Source organism: Homo sapiens, chromosome 3 (genome assembly GCF_000001405.40).
Source record: "Homo sapiens chromosome 3, GRCh38.p14 Primary Assembly".
Classification (NCBI taxonomy): domain Eukaryota; kingdom Metazoa; phylum Chordata; class Mammalia; order Primates; family Hominidae; genus Homo; species Homo sapiens.
The window spans coordinates 148,872,132-148,898,850 of NC_000003.12; the positions used below are offsets into that span (position 1 = coordinate 148,872,132).

The 26,719-nt window shown below is 36.1% G+C and overlaps 1 protein-coding gene across 1 annotated transcript in view; it reads left to right on the plus strand.

Annotated features, from left to right (window-relative positions):
• Window positions 1–25,072, plus strand: part of CPA3 (carboxypeptidase A3) — a 31,908-nt gene extending 6,836 nt beyond the window's left edge. The window contains exons 4-11 of the mRNA NM_001870.4: window positions 6,310–6,412; window positions 6,516–6,617; window positions 7,657–7,758; window positions 9,391–9,501; window positions 10,374–10,464; window positions 11,482–11,684; window positions 13,962–14,046; window positions 24,389–25,072. Coding sequence (NP_001861.2) covers window positions 6,310–6,412; window positions 6,516–6,617; window positions 7,657–7,758; window positions 9,391–9,501; window positions 10,374–10,464; window positions 11,482–11,684; window positions 13,962–14,046; window positions 24,389–24,576 — 985 coding nt within the window. The 3' untranslated portion in view covers window positions 24,577–25,072. The remainder of the gene's footprint in view (window positions 1–6,309; window positions 6,413–6,515; window positions 6,618–7,656; window positions 7,759–9,390; window positions 9,502–10,373; window positions 10,465–11,481; window positions 11,685–13,961; window positions 14,047–24,388) is intronic.
• Window positions 25,073–26,719: the final 1,647 nt, after the last annotated feature.

The following is a 26,719-nucleotide window of genomic DNA, read 5'->3' on the forward strand; positions in this document are numbered from 1 at the left end:
TTAAAGTAGCATACTTGTTTCTTTTTTTACTTATTTACAAAATCATAAAAGGCCAAGTTCAAAAAACAAACAACATGGATATACTAACAAACCCAAACAGACTGGCAAACAAATATCAAAGGGAAGGCACGTCCATCGGACTGAGCCTCTGGGGCAGACACTATACTTGGACTCAGCAGTTAAAAATCCTAGTGTTTTTAACATTGTTCACATTTTAGACAGTCAATTTTTAACATTGTCTTTTCTTTGATCAAAGGTTAAAATTAGAAAATAAAGAGTTGTTAATGAAAGGTAACTCAGAAAACAACTATTAATATAATAAGAAAACTCAAATGGTACAATTAAGTAAAATCTTACGAGGATCCATATAAGATTATGTGAGAAATGCAAAAGAGATCTATGCCAAACTGACACAGTGATAATCAACACCTAATATTAATGTCTAACTGCCTAATAATAATGTTCAGTCAGATACAAATTCATATTCCAGGGATATACACAGTCCTATCCAGTGTTTCAATCAAATCATTCTAATGTGTCATTCCATTCATTTTTTTCTTCTGCTTCACATTTTTACGTATTACTTACCTAAGAGTATAACATGCATGTTATACTACAACATGCTACATGGTACAAATGTTGAAGTTACAATTGGTCATGTGACAAACAGGAGTGTGGAAGGTAGGAAAGTGGGTTCTGAAGCAACGCTGTCTGGGTCCAGTCCCACTGAAGCCATGCATTAGATACTCAACATTGGCAATTTATTTAACTTTGCTTTACCTCATACCTCATCTATAAAATGGGAATAATAATGGAATCTATTTCATAGGGGTTTCATGAAGATTGACTGGGATCGTAAAGTTGCTGTCTGCCTGGTCCTTTACTTCTATGAATACACACACACACACACACACACACACACACACACACTCACACAGAAACAGGGAATAACTAGAGGCTATCACCAGATGTTCCATTTTCCTCCCAGTGAATAAATGAGTAGTATTCCTCAAACTTTGAGAAATCCATGTCAGTAAGTGTAGAATTTGATGTGTGGTAACCAAATTAGGGAGTTACCAGGGGGATATTGAATCTTAGGGAAACCTGAAACCATGCTTTTTGAATAGCACCATATCCTGATGTAATGTGGGCATCAGGAGAATCCAGTCCCATTTATAAGTCACCCTGACAGTGACTCTGCCTTCCTGAAACATCTTTCCCCAGTGCATGCACGCGCGCACACGCGCACACACACACACACACACACACCCCAGAGCCTACGATAGTCACATATATTGGCCCATAGTTCTCCAGTCCTTTGTTGCTTTCTAAAAGCAGCAAAGGATGGGAGCCTTGAAACTGTCAAAGTAGAATTTATCTCATCTCTTCTCTGAACCTCTTACTTGCTCCCTGACCTTGGGACACAGACTTCCATGAGAGTTGGTTGATTGGGCCAACTGTGCACCAACCTCCGAAGACTAAGGAGAGTGCAGATCTGACGGCAATACCCAAGGATTTCACTCTCATGATGAAGGCACTATTGTACAATGGCTCACAGCTACGGTGCTGATGTCAGACCCTCCAGGTTCAAATTCCAACTTCTGTATTTTAACAGTTGTGTCCATTTTGGAAACTGGCCAAACCTTCATAAAAACAAGAGCTGATAATGGTACCCAGTTAATCATGTTGAGTGATAAAATGTAAATACAGTGCTGAGAAAAGTGCCTGGCACATAAGAAAGGTTCAGTAAACATTAAACATTTGTATTATTCAATACTCAGTGATAATTATTTATCCTTTCACCTATATTTAGGAATTTTCTTAAACAAATTAAGCAAATTTTGGAGCTCAAAATAATATTTGAGAAAAAGTAATTTGGTTTCATTTGTTTATGCCTGGCTGCTGGTTAGTAGAAGGGCTTGTGAAAATAACATCTGGCCCCAGTTCTTAATTTCCAGCCTTAGGCTTAATTTCTAGTCCCTATCAGCAACAATCTGGCACCGTTCTGATGTTCTCATGCAGCTACATCATTTGTGGAAAGGTTGTACTTCAACTCACACTGTTTTTTTTGCTTTGTTTTGTTTGGTTTTGTTTTGCTGCTGTTATCATAAGAGCTAAATTGATATGTGTAAGTCTAAAAATATTCTTAGATACAAGCTTCCTGTGACTAATTAATACTGCCTTATGTTACAAATCAACCTCTGGGACCATAAAATTTCTCTTCTGCCTGGTTTCTCCACTTCTATTAATGCAGGTGGAGCAAAAGCCACGTGCCCTTTTTAGAGCTTAAAGCAATTAGTTATGTCTGTAATGACCACCCAAAATATAATTTCAAACCTTCCCGGGTTTTGTGTGAGTTTCAGTGCAACATGCTCCACCTGATTCCAAAATTGCTGTCACAAGTTTATTTTCTCAGAAATCCTAGGTTCATCATAAGTCAAAAGCAAAGCATACAGTGAGTTAGATATGATGTACATAATGATGTGCTTGTCAGTGCTGCTAATAGGAATCAATATTCATGAGCAGTACTTGGTCCCATGTGCTAAATAAACTCTAATTAAGGGAATACAGCGTTTGTGTTCCACATCAGAACTCAGATCAGTCAGTCAATCAGCAAGGAGAAACCAACAAGTAGAGTGGAGCTCAGCAGTGTCAGTGTCATAGCTCATTATTATAAGAAATTGAAGAAATCAAAGAGTCAAACATCTACATACCATCAAAGCCTGCTTTAAAAACATGTTATGACTGTAAAATGGTTGTCGATTTTATGACCCAACTTCACTATTATTCTGAAGTTCAATGGGAGCCTGAGGCCACCAAGCACTTAGGTTTTACTTCATTTCATCCTCACCACAAGCCTGGTCACCACAATTGTAAAAGTTGGAAAACTGAGGTTCAGAGGGTAACTAAGCCACCCAAGATCACATGTTCGTATTATGTAGCTGAACTGGGGTTGGAACCCAAGAAGGTCTGAACACAGGTCACTCACTGCTTCCTTATTTGATAAGATTTATAGTGACGGAAAGAGTACATGATATTGTCCCAAAGACTAGAGTGAATGTTAAAAAATAGACTTCTTCCTGCACCCAGGACTCACTGCTAACAGCAGAAAAAAAAATACATGTGCATTTCATTACCAAAAGGTGAGTAATTCCTTTATTTATATAGAGTCAATGAGAAATGAGATAAGCCAAATAAGAAAATTGTTCAGATAAGTACGACTTCAAGAAATCCTTTCTTTTTAATATTTTTATTGAAACATTTCCATTATAACGATAATTTTCTGCCCTACAAAATAGAGTATATTGAATATGGTTTACCTTTGGGTAAAGAATTATCATTATCAATATGAATTTTCATACTGTGCTATGAGACCACTGACCCATGTTTTCTAAGTCCTTCTGTCTAGGGAGTTTTTTAACTTTTCTCTTTTTTTTTCTTTTTGCTGTCAGCTATCACCTACTGATAACAGTGTGTTCGCTGCTTGCTTTCAGCAAGTCATTTTCCCTAGATCCAATGCATTCCTTCTGGGTTAAACAAGATTTTTAGAACAGTATCTAAAATAAGACAGACAAGATTTTTTGTGAGGGTATTTGTAAATCTCCTACAGCTGTAAAATAATATTTAACAAAATAAGGAATCTAATAATAGGTTTTAATGCAACCATACATCAACGGACAATAATTTGATCATATAAATTGATACTGCCATATTAATCTCAAAGTGGCATTCAACATCATTCTTAACAGTGAAAGATAAGTTTTCCTGTAAAAAGCAGAAAAAAAGAATGCCGTCTATGGCTACTATTATTTATCATAGTTCAGAGAGTTTTCCAATGCAAAACAGCAAGGAAAAAAAGAAATAGTTATTAAGAAAATTAGAAAGTATAGATATTGGCAGAAGAAATAACACAGAAAATACCCTAAAAACATAACTAAAATTCTTAAAAGTATAAAGATAGTTTTTTAATCTAATAAAATAGCTAAGTGTAATCAAAGTAAATGGTTTTTTAATATATGAATACTGTAATAACCAAAAATGTAGTGAGAAAAAAAGTCAAAAAACTGGTAAAATATATATATATATAAATAGATGATCAAAATACTTAACATTTTACTGAAGAATCAAAGATACAATTATGTTATGATCCATTATTAATAAAATTCTTATATTTATTTATAATTTAATGTCTATCAAAAAATCCCATTTTTTCTGATCATTCTAATTCCTAAAATGATTCTGATAAGACATTTTTTTTTTTTTTGAGACAGAGTCTCCTCTGTCACCCAGGCTGGAGTGCAGTGGCACAATCTCAGCTCACTGCAACCTCCACCTCCTGGGTTCAAGCAATTTTTATGCCTCAGTCACCCGAGTAGCTGAGACTACAGGTGCCCACTACCACACCTGGCTAACTTTTGTATTTTTAGTAGAGATGGGGTTTCACCATGTTGCCCAGGCTGGTCTCAAACTTCTGGCCTCATGTGATCCAACTGCCTCAGCTTCCCAAAGTGCTGGGATTACAGGTGTGAACCACCATGCCCAGCCAAGACATTTATTTAAAATAGGTGAAATTACTCAAAATTTTTGGAAAAAAAGAATAAGATACATTATCCAGTATTAAATTTTACTGTAATTAAATATGATTTGGTTTCTATTAAGGCATAAGAAAAAAGATTAATGAAGCAAATAGAAAATTCCCAGACAAAATAAATAAAATACTTGCATATATGATGATGACATTTTTTAAAAATAAATCTTGAAATGAGGCAGTTTGTATTCAAATTCCCAACTCCATCTCATACACTGTGAGTATTTAAACCTTCTGAGCACTAACTTCCCCATCTGTAAAGTGATAATACTGACAAGATTAATTAAATAATGTGTATAAAGCAGTACCTGGCCTGTATTACACATATGGATATCTGAATCCAAGTGAAAACGTCATGTAGGCAGTTGGATGTGTAAGCCTAGAGTTCAGAGGAGAGTCAAGTATAAGTGACCATCAGGTGACCATTACAGCCACTGGACTCCATAAAATGATGACATGAGATGGCTCAGAAAGAGATGAAAATAGGAAGATGAGGCCGGGAGCAATGGCTCACGCCTGTAATCCCAGCACTTCAGGAGGCTGAGGTGGGCAGATCACCTGAGGTCAGGAGTTCGAGGCCAGCCTGATCAACATGGAGAAACCCCGTCTCTACTCAAAATACAAAATTAGCTGGCGTAGTGGCACATGCCTGTAATTCCAGCTGCTCAGGAGACCAAAGCAGGAGAATCACTTGAACCCGGGAGGTGGAGGTTGTGGTGAGCCGAGATCACACCATTGCACTCCAGCCTGGGCAACAAGAGTGAAACTCCATCTAAAAAAAAAAGAAAGAAAGAAAGAAAAAGGAAATAGGAAGATAAGGTGTAAGCCGTAAGCCTCTTGACCCTCAACATTAGTCTCCTAGTGATTTTTCCCACCTCTTATTTCACCCCCTTCAAATCATGTTAGCCATTTTCTAGATCCATCACTATAGGCACGTTGTTTCAACACTTTGTACCTCATTTTTCTCATCTGTACAATAAGCATAATAATCTAATGTGAAGATTAAATGAATTAATAATGTACATATGGAGGTCAGAGCGATGCCTGGCACAAGGTAGTGCTAAGTACCTGCTTACTATTATAATTATCATTATTATTCAAGTTTCTCCCAGCTCAGAAGGTGTGAAATTATAAGGTATGATCTGTAGATGTGTGCATGAAAGAATCCCTTGTTGCCTGTGTTTATGTGGATGTAGATGTGTGTGTGTTTTGGAGAAGGATGGGGAGTACTATAGCAGTACAATACGAGCCACATGCATAATTTTAAAATTGTGGTAACCACATTAAAAAAGTAAAAAGCAACAGGTAAAATTAACTGTAGCAATACATTTTATTTAGCCCAATATATCTGAAATTTTTATTCTACACAACATAAAACTTATTAGTGAGATAGTTTATATCATTTTTATACTATCTTCAAAATCTGGTGTATATTTTACACATACAGCAATCTACTCTTGGACAAGCCCCACTTCACATGTCCTGTATGCACTTGGGGCTAGAGACTATCACACTGGACAGCACAGCTCTAGATAAATGGGGAGATCAGAAGCCAGACACATGATATGTCTAAAGGAGATAGCTAGAGGAGAATAATGAAGAAACAGAGCAAACTTGATTAAAGATAAAGGAGAAGGAAGAGAAATTTCTGCAAATGAAAGATAACTGTGTTTTCCTTTCTCATGATAAAACATGTATTTTATCATTCCCCTGTCAAACAGAATCTTGATTCATGATCTACAAGAAGAGATTGAGAAACAGTTTGATGTTAAAGAAGATATCCCAGGCAGGCACAGCTACGCAAAATACAATAATTGGGAAAAGGTACAGTAAAAAATGCCTGTACTTTTTTTTAAGTTACCCTTAATATTTATTGTCATTTTGTTTTCTTTTATTCTAATTTCTCAAAATTGATTTTGCTCTTAAGATTGTGGCTTGGACTGAAAAGATGATGGATAAGTATCCTGAAATGGTCTCTCGTATTAAAATTGGATCTACTGTTGAAGATAATCCACTATATGTTCTGAAGGTAAAAATAACTCAAGAACCACTAATTCTTATTACTGTTGAAAAACATGAATTTAAAAGTTACTTTGTAACACAACTAAGCTAATTCTGAGCTAATACATATTATCTCTGAAAGAATATTTAAGCTCTAGACATCCATTAAAGAATAGAAATGACAAGCGGTTTTGGTGGAACCAAGAAAGTGTCTGGATAAACATTTGTCAGAGATTGCACAGTGGACAAACCCAAACAAATATTTCATCCCACAGCTTTATTACAAGAGTCCATGATGTCTCTGGTATAAAAAAAACCCTCATCCCTTAAAATGCAGTGAAACTGATGAATGAATGTCATGAAGGGAATTTAAATATCATAGCATCATAGGACTGTAGAACAGTGTGTTAGGCATTTCAACCATGGATTGCTTGAGGGTTCCCTATATCAGAGCCAACAATTTCCACTCCATTGCTGCTGGATTTTTGCACATCCAAAGATACTGCTCCCTGAAGCAGCCACTTAACAAGTGAGAAGCCCATCCACATCCCAAACCCCCATTCATTCATTATCTCCAACCACTCAAAACAAACCTGCACTCTCTTCAAAATGACAGCCATTCAAGTATCCAGTACTATTTCCCTTCCCCACTCCAACACAACACAAGATCTTCTCCATTCCAGGGTAAATATCCCCAGTTTACACAACCAGAAAAACAAAAGGAAGTGGCAGAAACAAAAGTGACTTTATAATAAATTTCTCAGAACACAGGATGTTAGTAATAAAATAAAAACAATGGACTACAAATTTTTTTCAAAATCCTACCAGCTGCCCTGACACTAGAAAAATTTTTTGAAAAATATGCATTGTAATAGATTATGAATTATGTATAGACATTTAAGGATATGTCCCATGGTCCCTTCTGAGAACAATATGTGCATACATGGTTCTCATTCAACAATAGACAGGGGAAATAATTGCTTTGAGAATATGAATGAGTTATTGGTCAACAAGGGATCAATGTGTGAGTTTGTTCAAAACAATATCTCAAGTTTACTTTTAAATAGATTGGGGAAAAGAATGAAAGAAGAAAGGCTATTTTTACGGATTGTGGCATTCACGCACGAGAATGGGTCTCCCCAGCATTCTGCCAGTGGTTTGTCTATCAGGTAAGTGAATCAGAAGACTCCCAATTCTCCTTTGACTGCCAAGTCTCCAGCACTTCACTAAGTGGCGACATCTTTCCAAACACGCAATTCCACTTAGCTAGAAGAGCCCATACTTGGTGCTGTCAGGGAAGAAACGCTCTGAATTTTACTCATCATTACAGTTTTTATGAAATTGACAACTTCCCTCCAAACAATTCTTAAACTCAAGCTAAGAGTTTATGAAACTCACACTTTTCTTGGGCTATCACATGAAAGTTTTTACTGTAGTCAAGTATGGAAAATCTGAAACAACCTTCACATAACCTACAAATGTAACTTTTCTTCAATGAGCTCAAAACATAGATATTTAATTTTAATTCCTCTTTAGATAATACATTGGCCGCACATGTACTTGGAATTTTAATATTTAAGTTTCCTTTCTGAGTGAAAAATAACTCACTTTTTTCTTTTTTTTTTTTTTGAGATGGAGTCTCACTCTGTCACCCAGGCTGGAATGCAGTGGTGCAATCTCGTCTCACTGCAACCTCCGCCTCCTGGGTTCAAGCAATTCTACTACCTCAGTCTCCAAAGTAGCTGGAACTACAGGCATGCGCCACCATGCCTGGCTAATTTTTGTATTTTTAGTAGAGACTGGATTTTGCCATGTTGGCCAGGCTGTTATCAAACTCCTGATCCCAAGTAATCTGTCCCCCTCGGCCTCCCAAAGTGCTGGGATAACAGGTATGAGCCACCACACTGGGCCTACAATTCACTTTTTTAAAAGGTTTATCTAGTTTATATATTCAATATTCCTCTCACTCTATTGCCAATGTATTTTGACTCCTACCATATTTTAATTTTCTCTTTCTGTCAGCTTTTGCACATGGCACAGTGGTGAAATATGTGTAACAATGGTTTTCTGGGCATAGATATTTTTCTAGAAAAGAATCCACCAGGAAGTGACCTGTAGTTACTTTTGCTCTCCCAACTGAGGGCCAAGAGCTCCCCCTACTCAACACATAAAGGAATGCACATCACAGGTCTACAAAAAATCTTGTCTCCAATTCAGATGTACCTAGAAGGACTTCCCAAGAGTGGTGAGAGAGATTTTAGGTAGCTACAGAAAGTGCATGTGATTAGAGAAATTTCAGTCAGATATAGAAAAAAAAAAGTTGTTCAATCTCTGAATTCTTGGGTATTTTATTAATACAATTTTTTATTTAATCCTGCTTATAACTATCTCACAAATTCTCTCCAATATTTTCATATTCCTGTGCTTACAGACTCTATCTATATTTATGTAAAAGATGTGAGAGAATCAATTAAAAATAAGTTGTATTACAAATTTTCCATTTGGCTTCCAATCTTTCTATGAAACATATCTCTCATGCTACATTTGGAATGCTATAAGTCTCGATAATTAAATGCTCCTTTAAAGACTATTCATTTCCATTAATGTCACTAGTCTAAATAAGTTAGGTTTTTTTCCCCTTTAAACTATATGGATTGTTTATTTTTGTTCATTTTAGGGAAAATATGCTTGAAAACATGTGACCTTGGGAAGTGACTCAAGTTATTACTATTATAACCACAGCTTTCCACATAATAGCTAAACTTCATACCAATAGCTTAATTTTTTTTCACCTCCGACAGGCAACCAAAACTTATGGGAGAAACAAAATTATGACCAAACTCTTGGACCGAATGAATTTTTACATTCTTCCTGTGTTCAATGTTGATGGATATATTTGGTCATGGACAAAGGTACTGCTCTCTACTCTCTTGTTTGCATTTAGATATTATTTGCTGGCTTTAATACACAATGTTATGCATTCAGCTTAGGGTTTAGGTAACTAGTTAATTCTAATTCAGAAAAGTATATTTTTTAAAATCTCAGTTTCAAATTAAGTATGATTTCTTGGTTGCATAGGTATCCTTGAAATAATATAAAATTTTTGCTGCTGAAGCTAGTTATGTGGGAAAATGAAATAAAGTAGTAATTACAGAGGAAATGTATGATTGCATTATATGATATGGCATATCTAGCTAAGAATAAAGCCAATTAATTGATTTTAAAACAAAAACCTTTGTATTTCATCAATTTTGAATAGAATTTGAGGTAGAATCATTGTATCAAAAAAAATAAAAGAGAGGTACAGATACCTATTTGTCTTTTTACAGTATATTTTATTATCCTGCTTTTGCTAAATAAGAACTCTCAGGCAGACACTGTCACATCAAATTATTTTCTGCAAATAATGCTCCAACAGTAAAAATTTGACCTGCATTATATCTGAATCTATATATGGTGAACAAGCTAATGAAGTTATAATTTAAATTATGGTTAATTTCAGAACACCGTTAGTCATCTTCTAATACTGTGAACTAATCAACAGTGTTTAAAATTAACTGAATTATTTCATCAAAGCCTAAGGATATAATATTAAAAACCATGATTCTGAAAATACTACAAATTATAAGAAAACAATATTTTTTTCTTTTTATAATAAAGGGCCTCAAGTTAACTAGATAGATTTCAAATAAAGTTGCAGACACCTGCAGAGAGAATTTGAAATGATCAAATTGAAAAATGCAAACTGATCTTGTGTAAACACTTACGTCATTCAATCTGGCAGAACCGCATGTGGAGAAAAAATCGTTCCAAGAACCAAAACTCCAAATGCATCGGCACTGACCTCAACAGGAATTTTAATGCTTCATGGAACTGTGAGTAGCAGACTTGCTATCAAGGAAAATTGCTATAAGGAATATTTAGGTCCCAAACTTAACTAAAACACCTACTTGTTCAGTAAAAATAGTTATGCTTTGAGTGAGTGTTAACTTTTGTATCTATAACATGAAAGACAATCATCACTACCATTGAGGGATGTCTTGCTGTGTGGAAGGAAATGAGGAGGAAGGGACTGTTTATCAAACCATCTCTTACTTACTATATCTAGTTTGCTAAAAATTAAGCACAATCCAAATGTATAAAAATTCAGATAATCTGAATAAAGACCTCAGATTCCTCTGCTTCCTGATGTGAGAAATGTCAGTGGCTAAAAGCAACATACAGACAGTTTTTCAGATATTTAGTGAAAAGAGTCATCTGGAGCAAAGAAAGTGAAAAAGTTTAACAGAAATACGATGATAAGCAGAGGCCTGCTACATCAGACGATGCTTTAGTTGCTATACAACTATGACTTCATCACTGCACACTTTCAAGGAGAAATTACCATTGCCCCAATTTATATATTTCTTCTGTGCCTAATTTTGTTGAAAACATCACCTGAGCTTTTAACTGTATTCTACCATAATGAACATAGAAGAGCAGCAGCTATCTCTAATTGAGAGCTTTCTGCTGAAAAAGGCTGAAGAAACTTGTGCCCAGGGAAGGTAATTCACACCAGCCCCCAGCGCATTAGAGCTGGGGTTGAATTAGAACTGGAGTGTATCTGGCTCCAAGTCATGGCTGCTTCTGATTTATTACTCCTGTGGCCTTGGGAAAGGACAAGGAAGTAAACAAGGCTTAGAATATTCCAGTGGGCTAAGTCTGTTACAATCTGGCATGTGTGTGCAATGTTAATCTGTAGTGACTATGATACAAGAGACATTGAAGCAGCCCTGTAAACATGAGAGGCAAAAACATTTAAAACATTCTGTGAATCTATAATACATTAGAAGAGGCAGGAGCTATATGGATGGGGAGCAGACTGTGGTCTCATCCACCTATGTCTTCTGCAGCCATTCCTAACACCAATGACCCATGTGCAGATAACTATCGGGGCTCTGCACCAGAGTCCGAGAAAGAGACGAAAGCTGTCACTAATTTCATTAGAAGCCACCTGAATGAAATCAAGGTTTACATCACCTTCCATTCCTACTCCCAGATGCTATTGTTTCCCTATGGATATACATCAAAACTGCCACCTAACCATGAGGACTTGGTACGTAGACAAAAGTTTGCACTTCATGCATCGACAATACCATTGACTTTCAGTCTGTTCTTCATTAACTTGGGTATGTTGAAAGAATTTCACATTTTAATGTCAAAGAAAAGAACTAATGAAATTTGCCTTGAAGTTAAAATCATGATCTTTAGATTGATTTTTCATTGATAAAAGTATATAGATAATAAATTCCTTTAATGTGATTCTCAGGAGGAAAAAAAAATCAGGAAGAAATGTCTAGGAAAGGCATAATAGAAGTCTATTACAACACAGCTCATTGTGGGGTTTAACATTTACCATGGGTTGTACGGTAAAACCATGCACGGAAAAAGCCCAATAGAATAGCAAAGACATTTACTAGTCCTGCCCCCCAGATATCAGATTTAAGAAGATACATTGTATTTTTATCCTGATCAACTTGGAAATTATATTCTTTTACAATCCAAAGAAGATTATAAATGTTTGTGAAGCTTCTTCACTAAGAATATGTTATCTTTCCAAAACTATGATCCATTAAGCACCATTTTGTTTATAAAAACTGATTTGATAATGTGAGCTTTAAAAAAAAAGTCTGCATATGGGTTCCAATGAATCACAGGAAGTGACAGAGTGAATGGGTGCATAGAGGGATAAATATTTTGAATTGCTATAGAAGAAAATAAATAAAACAGAAAAAGTTTAGTGGCCCAGATCCCATGGTGATTGGCAAATATAGCACTTTCAGTAATAGCTGTGGTCCAAATACTGCCTCATAAAATATTTTAAAATTTTTAAGAGGTTACAATTTTCATTCTGACCTCAGTCCATTGTATTTAGCACAACAGCATTTAATGTTAATTGGAGCAGAGACCTGAATCAGTCATTAAAATCATCTCCATATATACAACAAAGAAGACATACCAGCAATATATGGCCCATAGTCATTTATTATCCAATGTAGGTGATAATCTGAGGGCGTGAGTTCAATTAATGCATACCAATGTACAGCACTGTGATTTCAATCCACTGTTAGGAAAATGATATTATGGGTTAAAAAAAATACATATCCACAAAAAAAAAAACCACTTTGAGTAAAATGAGAGTTCTTGCATAGCAACTAAATTGATTAAGAAAAAAATTATTTATTGGTTATATACGTTATATGTATAGTCTTTTAAAAATCTTTGTGAGTGCAAATATGTTAGTAACTATATTCCATTAAAATTCATTCTGACAATCACTCTCATAGCACAAAACACTAACGTGTATTAAAAGGTCATGACAAAATGCCACTCTGAAAGAGACACCCTAATTAACAACTATTTTAAAAAGCGGTCAACCACCCTTCTTCCCTTGGTATGCTGAAGTCAGATGAGTAGAGAAGATCCTGTAGCAATATGAGCCTGTTAGGGACCAAGGAATGTAAAACATGGAAGAAAATGGAGAAACTGTCAGAAGAGACAATTATCTGAAGCCAAAAAAATTGACAGGAAAAATAATGTATATTTTATATTTTAGAAGAAAGGAATGAGGAGAGAGAGAGAAAGAAGAGTAGAAACACAAAATGAGATATGGCATTACTGTATATAATCGACTGCATATTTAAGTCTTTTTTTTTTTTTTTTTTTTTTTTAGACGGAGTCTCGCTCTGTCACCAGGCTGGAGTGCAGTGGCGCAATCTTGGCTCACTACAACCTCCGACTCCCTGGTTCAAGCGATTCTCCTGCCTCAGCCTCCCAAGTAGCTGAGACTACAGGCACATGGCACCACCCCCAGCTAATTTTTTGTATTTTTAGTAGAGACGGGGTTTCACCATGCTAGCCAGGATGGTCTCCATCTCCTGACCTCATGATCTGCCCACCTCAGCCTCCGCAAGTGCTGGGATTACAGGCGTGAGCCACCGTGCCCGGCCAAGTCTTTATACTTACCACATATATTACTGAAAATAAGTTTCTCGTTTAACCATTTATTTTATTTTGATCTTCAAATGCCAAATACCTGGTAAATTTGACTTTTTTCATCCCTAGTAATTTACATATTTACATATATATATGTATGGGCTTTGGTTTTGTTAAAACCAGGAACTGAATTCCGGCTTCACCAGTTGCAACTAACCAGGAAATAGTACTGTCCATCTCATAGGGTTGTTATGAGTCTTGAAACTAAAGATCAAGGGATAAGCACAGTGCCTAACCTGTAAGACTCCATTAAAAAATTGCATACATACATAATTACATATTCCTTGGTATTTACACAGTATCCTATTATTTCACTCTAACTTTCCTTTCTCTCCAGGCCAAAGTTGCAAAGATTGGCACTGATGTTCTATCAACTCGATATGAAACCCGCTACATCTATGGCCCAATAGAATCAACAATTTGTAAGTCATTCCTCTTATTTACTGAGCCCTTTTCCCTAATTATTTTTTACAAATATTAAAGAAAATTATGGAATTTGCAATTTAGGTTAGAGCATCTGGAATTGCTAATTTAAATTCTACTTTTTACAGGATATTCTGAATTATACGTGAATCTAGGGGATAGATTCTGACCTTTTCTTGGGATAAGATTTTTCTAGAAACAAATTATACTGAACTTTTACAGGGTTACAAGGTCAACGGAAGCTATTAAGTCAAGACAGATTTACAGTTTACTTTATCTACCTTCCTGTTTCCCACCTGTACCACCAACAATGTTGTATCCTTCCAGGAACTAATGAGAATTCACTGGAGTGAGAAAAAAAAAAAAATTAGCCAGGCATGGTGACCTATGCCTGTAGTCCCAGTTTCTCTGGAGGCTGGGGTGGGAAGATCATTTGGGCCTGGGAGGTCAAGACTGCCATGAGCTGTGATCGTGCCACGGCACTCCAGCCTGGGCAACAGAGCAAGACCTCATCTAAAAAAAATCACATAAAAGAAATTAGATGGAGTAGAGTCTACATTTTTTTTAACCATTTAACTTTAACTGGACTCTTTCTTACTTGCCTTGTCTACATGTAAGTATGGTCTTTTCCCTAGCTGAAAAACAGCTAGGATAGGAAAACAGATAGAAAATCAGTTTCAGCTCCTCTGGTCGTGTAAAACAAGTTATCTCTCCTTCTCACTTGCTCCTTCTCACTATGTTCAGCCGAAATCTGTATGGTGAACTAGAAGGGAGATCACAAGACTCTAGTTCTGTCACTTTTGTTTCATACTCTCAGCACCATTTCTTACTCTTCCCTATTTTTAAATTTATGTTGTCTTTGTGTGTTTTTAAGTTATTGACTTGGATTTCTTGGCCTTGATTTTCTTGTCTCTTATTCTATATAAAAGAAATCAGTAATTTTTTTTTCTGTAAAGGGCCAGATAGTAAATAGCTTTGGCTTTGTGGAGGTACAGTTTCTGTTGCAGGTACTCAACCGGAGAATCATAGCTCAAAAACGGCCATAGACAATAAGTCAGCAAATGGGTGACTATGTGCCAATAAAACCTCATTCACAGAAACAGGAGGCTGACCAGGATTTGCCAACTCCCATACTTTATACTAAATAATATCTGCAAATTTTTATGGAGTCTTTACAAGTTAGGCACTGTGCTTACCCCTTGATTTTCACAATCTCAAGCTTCACAACAACCCTATGAGGTGGGGAGTAGTATTTCCCAGTTATTAGTAACCGGCGAAGCTGGAACTCAATCTCAGATTTTAACAAACAAAAGCCCTGATCCTGACCACTGCACATACTGTTTGTGCATTTGGATTTTGTAGCTGAAATATCCAGGATTTTCTATTTGCAATGAACAGCCAAAAAATCCATTTGAGTATCACCGAAGACAATTAACTCAGATCCTGGGAAGTGAGACCACTTTCTGCTCTTACAGCAACTCCCACTAAGCTTAGTTTGGGAATTATTTAGTAAAAACTACCTTTTCTCCAAACCAAGTTCAAGCTTCAGTTCTTAGTCTCAAAATTTATACAAAATTCCCCATGAAACTTCTCAAAAGCAAGAATTATGCTTCAGATTTCCTCTTAGACCCTGTAACATATAGTACAGTGCACGGCATGGAACAACAGCAGAATTAGTTCCCATAAACTTGCTCAATGATAATGGTGTCCTGGCTTATTCAAAAGAAGTGAATGTGAGTTGAAACCACAACAGTACTGGACTTGATTAAGCCTGCATCACTCTCTAGACCAAATATCCAACAGTGTTTAGCATTAAGACTACCATTTAACTTTTAAAAATTTCATGAACAACCCTTCCACCACCAAAGATACACTCATATTTTTATTACACTTTTAGAATCTGTGCATTAAAAAATACATATGTGCATATGAATTCAGGATTCCTTGCAACAATTTTACCTGACCACAGTTTTTAAGTCACTTTCGTATTCCAAGCTGAAAGTATAAACTTTGAACTGAAAGTCTACATCCTCAGCAATTGCGATGGAATTTGAAAATGCCGGAATCAACATATACAGTTTCTAGGACTTACTTATTAGATGCTTCTTTGGCAGAACTGGAAAATGACTAAAAAATGGACAAGTCCCTTTCCTCGAGCACATTCATTAACAATCACCTATCAACCAGTCACTGTTAAGGTGCTGAAGAAAAAGTGTAGTGATACAGATGATCCCCAGCATCCACATAGATCTTGCTACAACCTAGCCATGCTGGGGACTCATTACACATACAGGTGGATGACCACAAGATTTCAAAATACATGTTATGTACCCAGCTATGTGAGTGGACAAAAAGTAAGCAAAGTAAAGAACAAGAAGACAGACTAGAAGATCAGTTTAAAATGGCAGCCCACTTAGTAGATACTAATAAATAGCAGGGCCAGATTGGCCACCCAGACACCACATGAGAGCAATTCCTCTAAGCAAGAAAAACCCACAGATAGTCTTAGAGGCAAAGAACAAAGCATTCCAAACAGGAACAAACTTTGCAAAAGGCAATTAAAGCATCAAATAATTATCCGTGTGTGTGTATCCACAAAAGTATGAGAATACAGAGCTGTGCATAGCATTGCATTAAGACCTCTTAATGAACAAAAATATATGGTGTACCTAGCTAGCAGGCTAGCACTTTGGAGCTTTCAGAGATAAATGAGAGGACTTAGGACACAATAAACTACTCTTAAGGAAGTCACATTCTAAGTGGAAGGAGCGGAGAGCCAAAACTACCATAGCTCCATGCCATCATGTGTCACTTTCAAAATGGAAAGATACAGTCAAGAGGGATTACTATTCTGTTTAACTGTGCAGCATTATTTAAAATTTTTATTACATTATACTACAACATTTTAAAGGCATTGAGATTTAGAAAGAATTGCCTTTGTCACGCAGTGCTGCAGCAGCTTGATAAACGATCAAGATTTCTAGAACAGACTGCTTTAATAAAGCATCTGATAGAATGTTAATCAAACATGCATGAGAAACAGGGTAGCAAAGCAGTTGACTTGGTAAGAATAAAAAATAAAAATGTGATTAAAGTTTAGTCATTCCAATAACCTGATTGTCACTTAACATGTCCCCAGATTTAGGAACAGCATCTAGCATTTGTCAGTGATTTCCTGTCTTCGACTTGATGAAGACAGAAAAAAAAGGACTGGGGGAGCATTTTTTAAACTCAACTTATGGAGGATCTCTGGCCTTTAGAAAAAAATATATATATGTTTGCTCTTTGAACATGAGAGGCAAACATATCAGATAAGTTAAAATCATAAATTTTGAAACCAGGGAGAAACATAGGCAATGATCTATTCCATGGTTCTCAAGCCTGACTTCCCATTAGAATCATCAGGAAGCTGGCCAGGCCTGGTGGCTCACTTTTGTAATCCTAGCACTTTGGGAGGCTGAGGAGGGCGGATCACAAGGTGAGGAGTTTGAGACCAGTCTGGCCAACATGGTGAAACCCCATCTCTACTAAAAATACAAAAATTAGCTGGGCGTAATGGTGGGCACCTGTAATCCCAGCTACTCAGAAGGCTGAGGCAGGAGAATCACTTGAAACCAGAAGGCGGAGGTTGCAGTGAGCCAAGATCACGCCACTGCACTTCAGCCTGGGTGAAAGAGCAAAACTCCATCTCAAAAAAAAAAAAAAAAAAGAATCATCAGGAAGCTTTTAAAATACATGAATGATTATACCCCCAGCCCCCAGAGATTCTGATTTCATCAGTCTGAGGAGGAGCTCGGCACTCAATTTTTTTTTAAGTACCTTAAGTGATTCTAAGATGAAACTAGGGTTGAGAATCGCTGATCTAAGCAAAACTTCTCATTTATAGACTGAAATTCAGATACAGAAATATTTCATCACTTTAGGGCAGAAGAAAAACAAAAATCAGCATTCAACACCAGAGTTAAAATGGTATACCTACCACTTTGCCCCAAAGCAGCAATATTGAGATGGCACAAAAAAGTAAATAGTAATGTTTAATGTGAAATGATTATATTTGCATATAAACAGCATATCCAATCCTTCATCATCTTAGAAATAACTAAACATAGTACCTAGTGAGCAAGAATAGTTATTTGAGTTGATAAGAACCAAGATTGCATTAGTAATAAAATTCATCTGTGAGTCACATCATGAATTAAAAAGTTAATTTCAAAGTACATTTCTTGTAGCTTCCTTTGTGTACCAAAATTGCTAGATCTACCACTGATTCTCAACCCAGTGCTCTTTTTCCATATTCTACATATTCTACTTTTTCAAAATTTACATTCTGAAAAAGAAAAGTTAAGACTTGTAGTTCATAACACCAGATCTCTACTTACTAAGAGACATTCAAACTGATATTACAGAGAAAATATTTCAGTGTATGCCCATGTATCTCTGGCTTCAGCTCTTGCTTCTAATATAATTTTCACTTAGTATTAATATAAAAGTACAGGTTATTATATTGAATACATTTAAATAATATTTTTTAAAACGATACAATTTTTCAGAAAACACTGTATCAAGTAAGCAATAAATGCAGCACACATTAAGTCACCAACGTCACTTTATATGGATCCCTTTGGGCTGAAATCAGATTTCTAGTTTGGTACGGTTTCATTTTGATTTGTTCTCATTGAATTTGTTGCAACCAATATTGTGCCTTGAAATAAGTAGGAAATATTTTCTTAATGTTGAACATACTCAGAATATGCTGTCAACAAAAACAAAATTATCTTATAGAACTGAGTAAAGACTTGGTATTGGCTAGTATATAGAGTGGCACATAGGTAGCACAGTACAATGATTAACAACATGAACTCTGAAGACACCACCTGGGCTTGAATCCTGATTCGACCATCTACTAGCTATGTGTTTTTCAGCAAGTTGCTTAATCTCTCTGAGCCTAGGTTTCTTCTTCGGTAAAATGGTAATTGTTACTTACATTTGGGATAGGAATTAATTAAATGAGTTAACATGCATAAAGCACATAGAAGGGTACTTGGTATTTAGCAAGTGATTATTACTGTATTTTATAAATGCATACACATGTTTTAGTAGGTACACATGGAGATAAAGAAAAGGCTAAGTATCATGTTAAACAAATTAAGTTCTGGCCAGGCACAGTGATGCACACCTGTAGTCCCAGCTACTCAGGAGGCTGAGGTGGAAGTATCACTTCAGCCTGGGACGTCGAGGATACAGTGAGCCATGATCATGCCACCGCACTCCAGCCAAGGTAACAGAGCAAGACCCTGTCACATACACACACACACACACACACACACACACACATACACACACACACACACACAAATTCTATATTTTTTTCTCAAAGTAAAAACTTGCAATGTTGTATTTACTTTATGACTTGATATAGTTTTGTTTGCAAATTTAAGATCTAGAAGATATGAAATGTATTCTACTTCATAGCATCACATAATTATGAAAAATCAAATTCCATATATTCTCAATCACCACTATTAATCTTAATGACAAACTCCACATAAAGTAAATCTCTCAAAATAGAATAGCCATGCCCTTTAACCCTTGGAAATCACAGCAGTTTACTCGACTGCAAATAGAGAGCTACTGCAACTAGGAACTGGCCAAGTTTATTAAAATGTCTAACATATCCTAAATTACAAGACATAATTCCTATTTACTTTACCTCCTTTGCTACCAAGCTTGCATCTTAGTGTGATTTCTTTCTCATGAACTTAAATCCAACTAGCTAAAAGTGGCAATCTGTTTGATCACTGAAGCCAGTCTCTATATTTCAGCTCACGTGCTCCATAAATTACATGCAATATTTGACCCTGTTAATAACTTCTTGCCATTCCTTTGGCTTCCTTGACTTTGAACTCTACTGGTTCTCTTCTTCCTCCTCCTCCTTTTTTTCTACTCTCCCACTGACTGCTTCTAAAAGTAGACATTTTCCAAAAAATAGGGTACAATATATGGATACTTCCTCAGGTTCTCTCCTCAGGTCCCTCCTCTTACTTCTGACTCTCCTCATCAAGAAATAACCTCTATCCCCACAGGCTGGAATCCCTCATTTGTTACCTAGGGCACCAGGCAATCACCTTTTACCCACTAAGTGAACCAACCAGACCAAAATAGCAATGCAAAGGCTTTGAAAACTATATTGTCAGCTGAGCACGGTGGCTCATGCCTGTAATCTTAGCACTTTGGGAGGCCAAGGTGGGAGGATCACCTGAGAACAGGAGTCCGAGACCAGCCTGGCCAACATGGTGAAACCCGGTCTCTACTAAAAATACAAAAATTAGCTAGGTGTGGTGGTACGCACCTGTAGTCCCAGCTACTCAAGAGGCCGAGGCAGGAGAATTGCTTGAACCTGGAAGGCAGAGGTTGCAGTGAGCTGAAATCGTACCACTCCACTTCAGTCTGGGCAACAAAGTGAGACTCTATCTCAAAAACAACAACAACAACAACAACAAAAAACCAAAGCAAAACTGTCTGGGTGTGGTGGCACATGCCTGTAATCCCAGCACTTTGGGAGGCCGAGGTAGGCAGATTGCCTGAGGTCAGGAGTTCAAGACCAGCCTGACCAATATGGTGAAACCCTGTCTCTACTAAAAATACAAAAGTTAGCCAGGTGTGGTGGCAGGCGCCTGTAGAGAGGAGAAGCACTTGGACCTGGGAGGCAGAGGTTGCAGTGAGCCAAGATTGTGTCATTGCATTCTCGCCTGGGTGACAGAGTGAGACTCCATCTCAAAAGAAAAAAAAAAATACTATATTGTCATCAGTATCACAAGACACAAAAGTAGGCCAGGGCCTGTTTACTAAACCTGAACAGGGTGATTACCTGCTAAATTGAAGATTTAAGTTACAATTTATTATTTAATGTAATAGCTAAAATGTCCAGAATATAATCAAAAATCGCTTGTAATACTAAAAACAAGAAAAATTACAGCTTGAATACAAAAAGATAATCCACAGATGCCAACACTGAGATGATTGCAGTTTCAAACATTGGAAAAGAATTTCAAAGTTGCCATCATTAAAAAAAAAATGCCTCAACAAACAATTACAGATGGCCTTGAAACAAATGAAGAAATGGAAACTATCATCAAAGAAATAAATATAAGATACAAAAAGGAACCAAATGGAAACCATAGAACTAGAAAATGTAATAACTTGAACAACAAAAAAACTGGAAGGGCTTAATAGCAGAATAAATATGACAGAGGGAAGAATCAGTGAACTTAAAGACAGAGCAATATAATTCACTCGCTCTGAAGACAGAAAATAAACAAAAATAAATAACTAAACAAAGCCTCAGGAACAAATGGCATAATAAAATATCCAACATTCATGTCATCGGTCCAAGGAAAAGATAAATAAAGGGAACAGGAGCTGGAAAAAAAATGTTTGAAGAAATAAAAGCTGAAATATCCTACATTTGACAAAGACATAAACTAACATAGTCAAGTAGCTGAGTGAAACCCAAACAGGAATAACCCAGAGAAACTCACATCAAAGTACATCATAATTAAACTTCTGAAAACTAGACAAAGAAACAAGTCGTAAAAGGAATCAGACAGAAATGATCTAGAGTTAAAAACAGTTCCAGTGACAGCAGATTTTTCATGTGAAACCATGGAAGTCAAAAGGAAGTGACATTTTCTCAAGTGCTGAATGAAAACACCTATCAACCCTAAATTCAATAAATTCAATGTATTGCAAAAATATTCAGAAATGAAGGAGGGAATAAGACATTCTCATACAAAGGGAAATCAGCAGATGTGTGCCCCGCACACCTACTCTTAATGGCTAAAAGAACCCTCTGAACAAGAAGGAAATAATCACAGCAAAAGGCTTGGAACTGCAGAGAGGAAGGAAGAAAAATGGATTCAGTATAAATAAATAAATTAAATAATAGACTATCTTTCTCCACATGATGATTGAATCAAAAATTGTAAGTCTGTTTGATGTGATGTTCAATGTATGTAGAGAAGTACTCAAGACAATTGTACTTTAAAAGTGGGAAGGGAAAAAGGATCTGAAAGGAAGTAAAGTTTCTACACCTCACTTGACATAGTAAAATGTCAATACCATTAGACTGTGGTAAGTTATGTATGTGTATTATAGTACCTGGAGCAACCATTAAGAAAACTAAGCAAGTGAGACTATAAATCAATCAAATGGAATCCTAAAAATGTCATGTAACCAAGAGGAAGGTGTAAAGCAAGAAAAAAAAGATAAAGGGATAAAAACAGAAAGAACAAAAAAAAAAAAAGAAATAATGGCATGTTTAAGTCATATCAATAATTTACCTACACGCACTAATTAAAGACACATGGGCAGAATGAATTTTTTAAATTATAATTCAACAATATGCTGTTTATAAGAAACTCATTTCCAATATAACAACACAGATAAGTTGAAATGAGAATGATGGAAAAGATATACTATGCCATAGGAAGAATAGCTACATTAAGTATCAGATAAAGTGAATTTCAGAGCAAAGAAATTTGCTAGTGACAGAGACATTAACAATGATAAAAGGATCCATCCCACCAAGAAAATAATGATCCTAAATGTGTGCACACCAATTTCACCTATGATGTCTATGCCAATAATTTAAACATTCATTTTTCCAAGCTCTTTCTTGAATGTCTGATTGATGTTAAACGTATCACTTTGTCTTCCTTTGCCTTTTCTTTTTCCCATCCCAATGCTCTCTGAGTTCCCATTTAACAGTATGTTTTTTCCAGCTACCCAGATTGAAACATCAATCATTTTTATGAAATCCCAATGTTTCTTATGTAGAATCCCTCAGTTGTTTCTAATGTGGTGACTCTACCCTAGTCAGGCTTTCATTTCACACTACTTCATAACTGGTTTCTATTCTTTTCAATCCAGATTAACAAACCTAAAGTACTAGAAGGCCTCCAAAAGAAAATCTAAACACCTAGTCCCGATTCACAAGGTTTTCCAAGCTTTACTCACAAACTCTCACTGCTCCCTTTGCTCTGGTCCAGCTGGATCTCGTTGGTTTCTAACAATGCCTCCATGCTTTTCTATCCTTGTAGTTCACTGGCTAGAATTCCTTTCTTCCATCTCCAGCTGAAAACACACTAGCCTTTCTTCAAGGCTCTCCTCCAATACCATCTCCTCCATCATGAAGGCAGTATTTGAGCTGGCACTGGGCATGAAAGGCCATACTCCTCATCAAGAATAATCTCTTTTTTCTTTTAAATCTTGGTAAAATATTGTACCTTTTCTATGGTACTTAGCATATTCTGCTCTGCCTCTATTGACTTATACCTTGACTTCTGCCTCCTAAATTGTAAGTTACTGAAGACACCAGTGGCATCTTCTGCATTTTTGTACCCTGCAACAATTACTCTCCCCAGTGCCAAGAAATGTGTCTTGTAAATATTAAAGGTTTAATAAATATTTGGTGACCAATTTAAGAGCCAACACTATCTCTTCATCAAAATATCCCTTCTCTCTTTCATCGCAGCTTTGAATTCTTATCTTTCAAATTTTTCAGATCTTTCAAACTGTTATTATTAGTTAAACTCATTACTTGTCCTAGAACATAAATGCCTTCACATACAAAAAAAACCTTTTATATCACATAAAGCAAAATGTGAGCACATAAATGCAATTATGATATGTATATGCACTTGTATATGTATATAGCCTCTAGATGTGAGTTATATGTATATAACCTTTAGATGTGTGTTTATATTTCCAATGTTTTTACCAAAAAATAGAACCTTGAGTTAAATTTCATAAAAGTTGACATGGAAATTTTGAATTAGGAGATTAAATATGTCTTTAAAATAACTAAATTACATTTTCTTGGTCTTTTGACTATGAAATAGTTTACCCTAGCAACATGAAAAACAAGAGACCTAAGCTATTAGAAGAAATGCAATTCTATGTATCTTGTGTGTATAGTTTTTCCCTGGTGGTTTTCAACGACCAGTGACTCCTTAGCTGGTTTCCTCAGCTGCTAGCACTTGCTCTGGGTACTTGTCCTCAACACGTCCATCTGCAACAATGTGTGCCTAGGAAATAAACTCAACTTACTACTCACCCAACCAAAATGTAATTTTTTAAACGCAGCACACACTGGGTGGATTCCAAAGTCATGATTATGCTTTACTATGCACTCTGTACTATTCAGACCACTACTCTCATTCATTACTGCAATTAACTGCACACATAACTATTTTTTATTGCTAATTATACACCACTGATTTCCACTTTAAAAAAACATTAGCATTTGTCTCTAATTAAATATTTACTGCTTGTGTTTTACAGACCCGATATCAGGTTCTTCTTTAGACTGGGCTTATGACCTGGGCATCAAACACACATTTGCCTTTGAGCTCCGAGATAAAGGCAAATTTGGTTTTCTCCTTCCAGAATCCCGGATAAAGCCAACGTGCAGAGAGACCATGCTAGCTGTCAAATTTATTGCCAAGTATATCCTCAAGCATACTTCCTAAAGAACTGCCCTCTGTTTGGAATAAGCCAATTAATCCTTTTTTGTGCCTTTCATCAGAAAGTCAATCTTCAGTTATCCCCAAATGCAGCTTCTATTTCACCTGAATCCTTCTCTTGCTCATTTAAGTCCCATGTTACTGCTGTTTGCTTTTACTTACTTTCAGTAGCACCATAACGAAGTAGCTTTAAGTGAAACCTTTTAACTACCTTTCTTTGCTCCAAGTGAAGTTTGGACCCAGCAGAAAGCATTATTTTGAAAGGTGATATACAGTGGGGCACAGAAAACAAATGAAAACCTTCAGTTTCTCACAGATTTTCACCATGTGGCTTCATCAATTTATGTGCTAATACAATAAAATAAAATGCACTTAATGCTTTAAAATTCATCTTTTTATGATAAACTATATTCTCTGTATTTCTCTATAGCATTAATAATCAATATTAATGCCATTCATTCAGTCTGTTAATAAGAAATAATATCTTCAATTTTCAAAAACATAATTTGTCTATCTTTTTCTGATAGAAGTAGACATTGTTTATATCTTCAAAAAAGCAAAAGGATGTCCTAGCAGGAAATAAAGTGGTTCATATAGAGATGAATCTCAGTCCTTTAAATAACCGATCCAGTTCTCATCAGCATAATGTACATTAAATTCAAAATAGTTTAATTTAACCTGCCATAATCAGAAGAAACCACCTGCTAAAACATCTGTTTGCCGGTACAGACACAGACAAGACAGTCTGGTCAGCTGTGACCCCTGCCCTCCTAATGGATAGAAAGGAAACCTGGAAACATACTGTAAGTTGAGGACGGAAAGTCATGTTGACCAAAGGCAATCAGGGTAACTTGCTGCATTTGTACCATTTATACTCCTATTATTTAAGATAGTATTATTGGATAGCTTCTCCCCAACACCAATACCTCAATGTGTGATCAAGTGGCAACAGTGGCAGTGTCTACATTCCCAGAATCCAGACACAGATGCCCACCACAGGACTGACTATAATTTGAGGGACAAGTAGAGAGTTCCTTGACTTCCAGTAAACTTACTTCTCAGAACACCCCAGACAGTTTTCAACGACTGGGAAAGGTCCTGAGAAGTCAAGTCAATAAACAATCTGGGACATGCCTCATGAATCCTTTAGGGACACATAAAAGAAAGGATGGCATCAAAGCTACAAGATGATGGTGTGTTCTGATAGTCATGAGGTAGATAAAAGTTTCCCATGCAAAATTGTCCAGGAAAAGCAAATGTAAACTAACAAAATTGCTTTACAAGGGGAGAAGGGGAAGGTGACAGAGTCAAGAAACTAAAAGAGAAAAATGTGGCTATGAGATTATATTGTCTGATTAAAAATATGGTATCTATGTCTAAATATTTAGCATTCCAAACTAGCTTCAGAACGTGGGAATGTAAATTTGTTTCATTATACATGCCATATTGGAATTATATACTCATTCACACTTACTTACTCAAATGAGAAAGGACTGAAATATATTCTAACCCTAAAATTCATATAAATACCTCTAATTCCATTGAGCCTTTAGATGGAGGAGATAAAAGAGATAATCCCAATTGCAGAATATTATCCCATGTCCATCCATTATTCAGTTTATAAAGACACAAAAGTTGAACACACTATTTGAATTATTATGCAGCTTAATATTTTTTCTCAATCAGAAAAAAAATTAGCCTGAGTGGCTAAAAATAAAAAATCCTAACAAGATCTCATCCTAATTAAATAGTTTTTGAATGGCATCTGAGGGCATTTACTTCTTTCACTGCATATGAATTGTGAAAATAAATATGTGAAGACAAATATCTACATTAAAGTTAAAAAACTAAAATTTTACCTTATTTATGAGAAAGTTTGAGTGGCAAGTGCTGTGATTCTTCCCTTTTCATTTCTCATCTATCAGTAAAAGGGCTTTGTACCCAAGTTACAAGTTGTGCTATCACATAACAATATTCTTGACAGAGGCCAGGCACGGTGGCTCATACCTGTAATCCCAACATTTTGGGAGGCCAAGGTGGGAGGATCACTTGAGCCCAGGAGTTCAAGACAAGTCTGGGTGATAAAGTGAGACCTTATCTCTACAAAAAAATAAAAATAAAAAATTAGCCAGCTGTGATGGCACATACC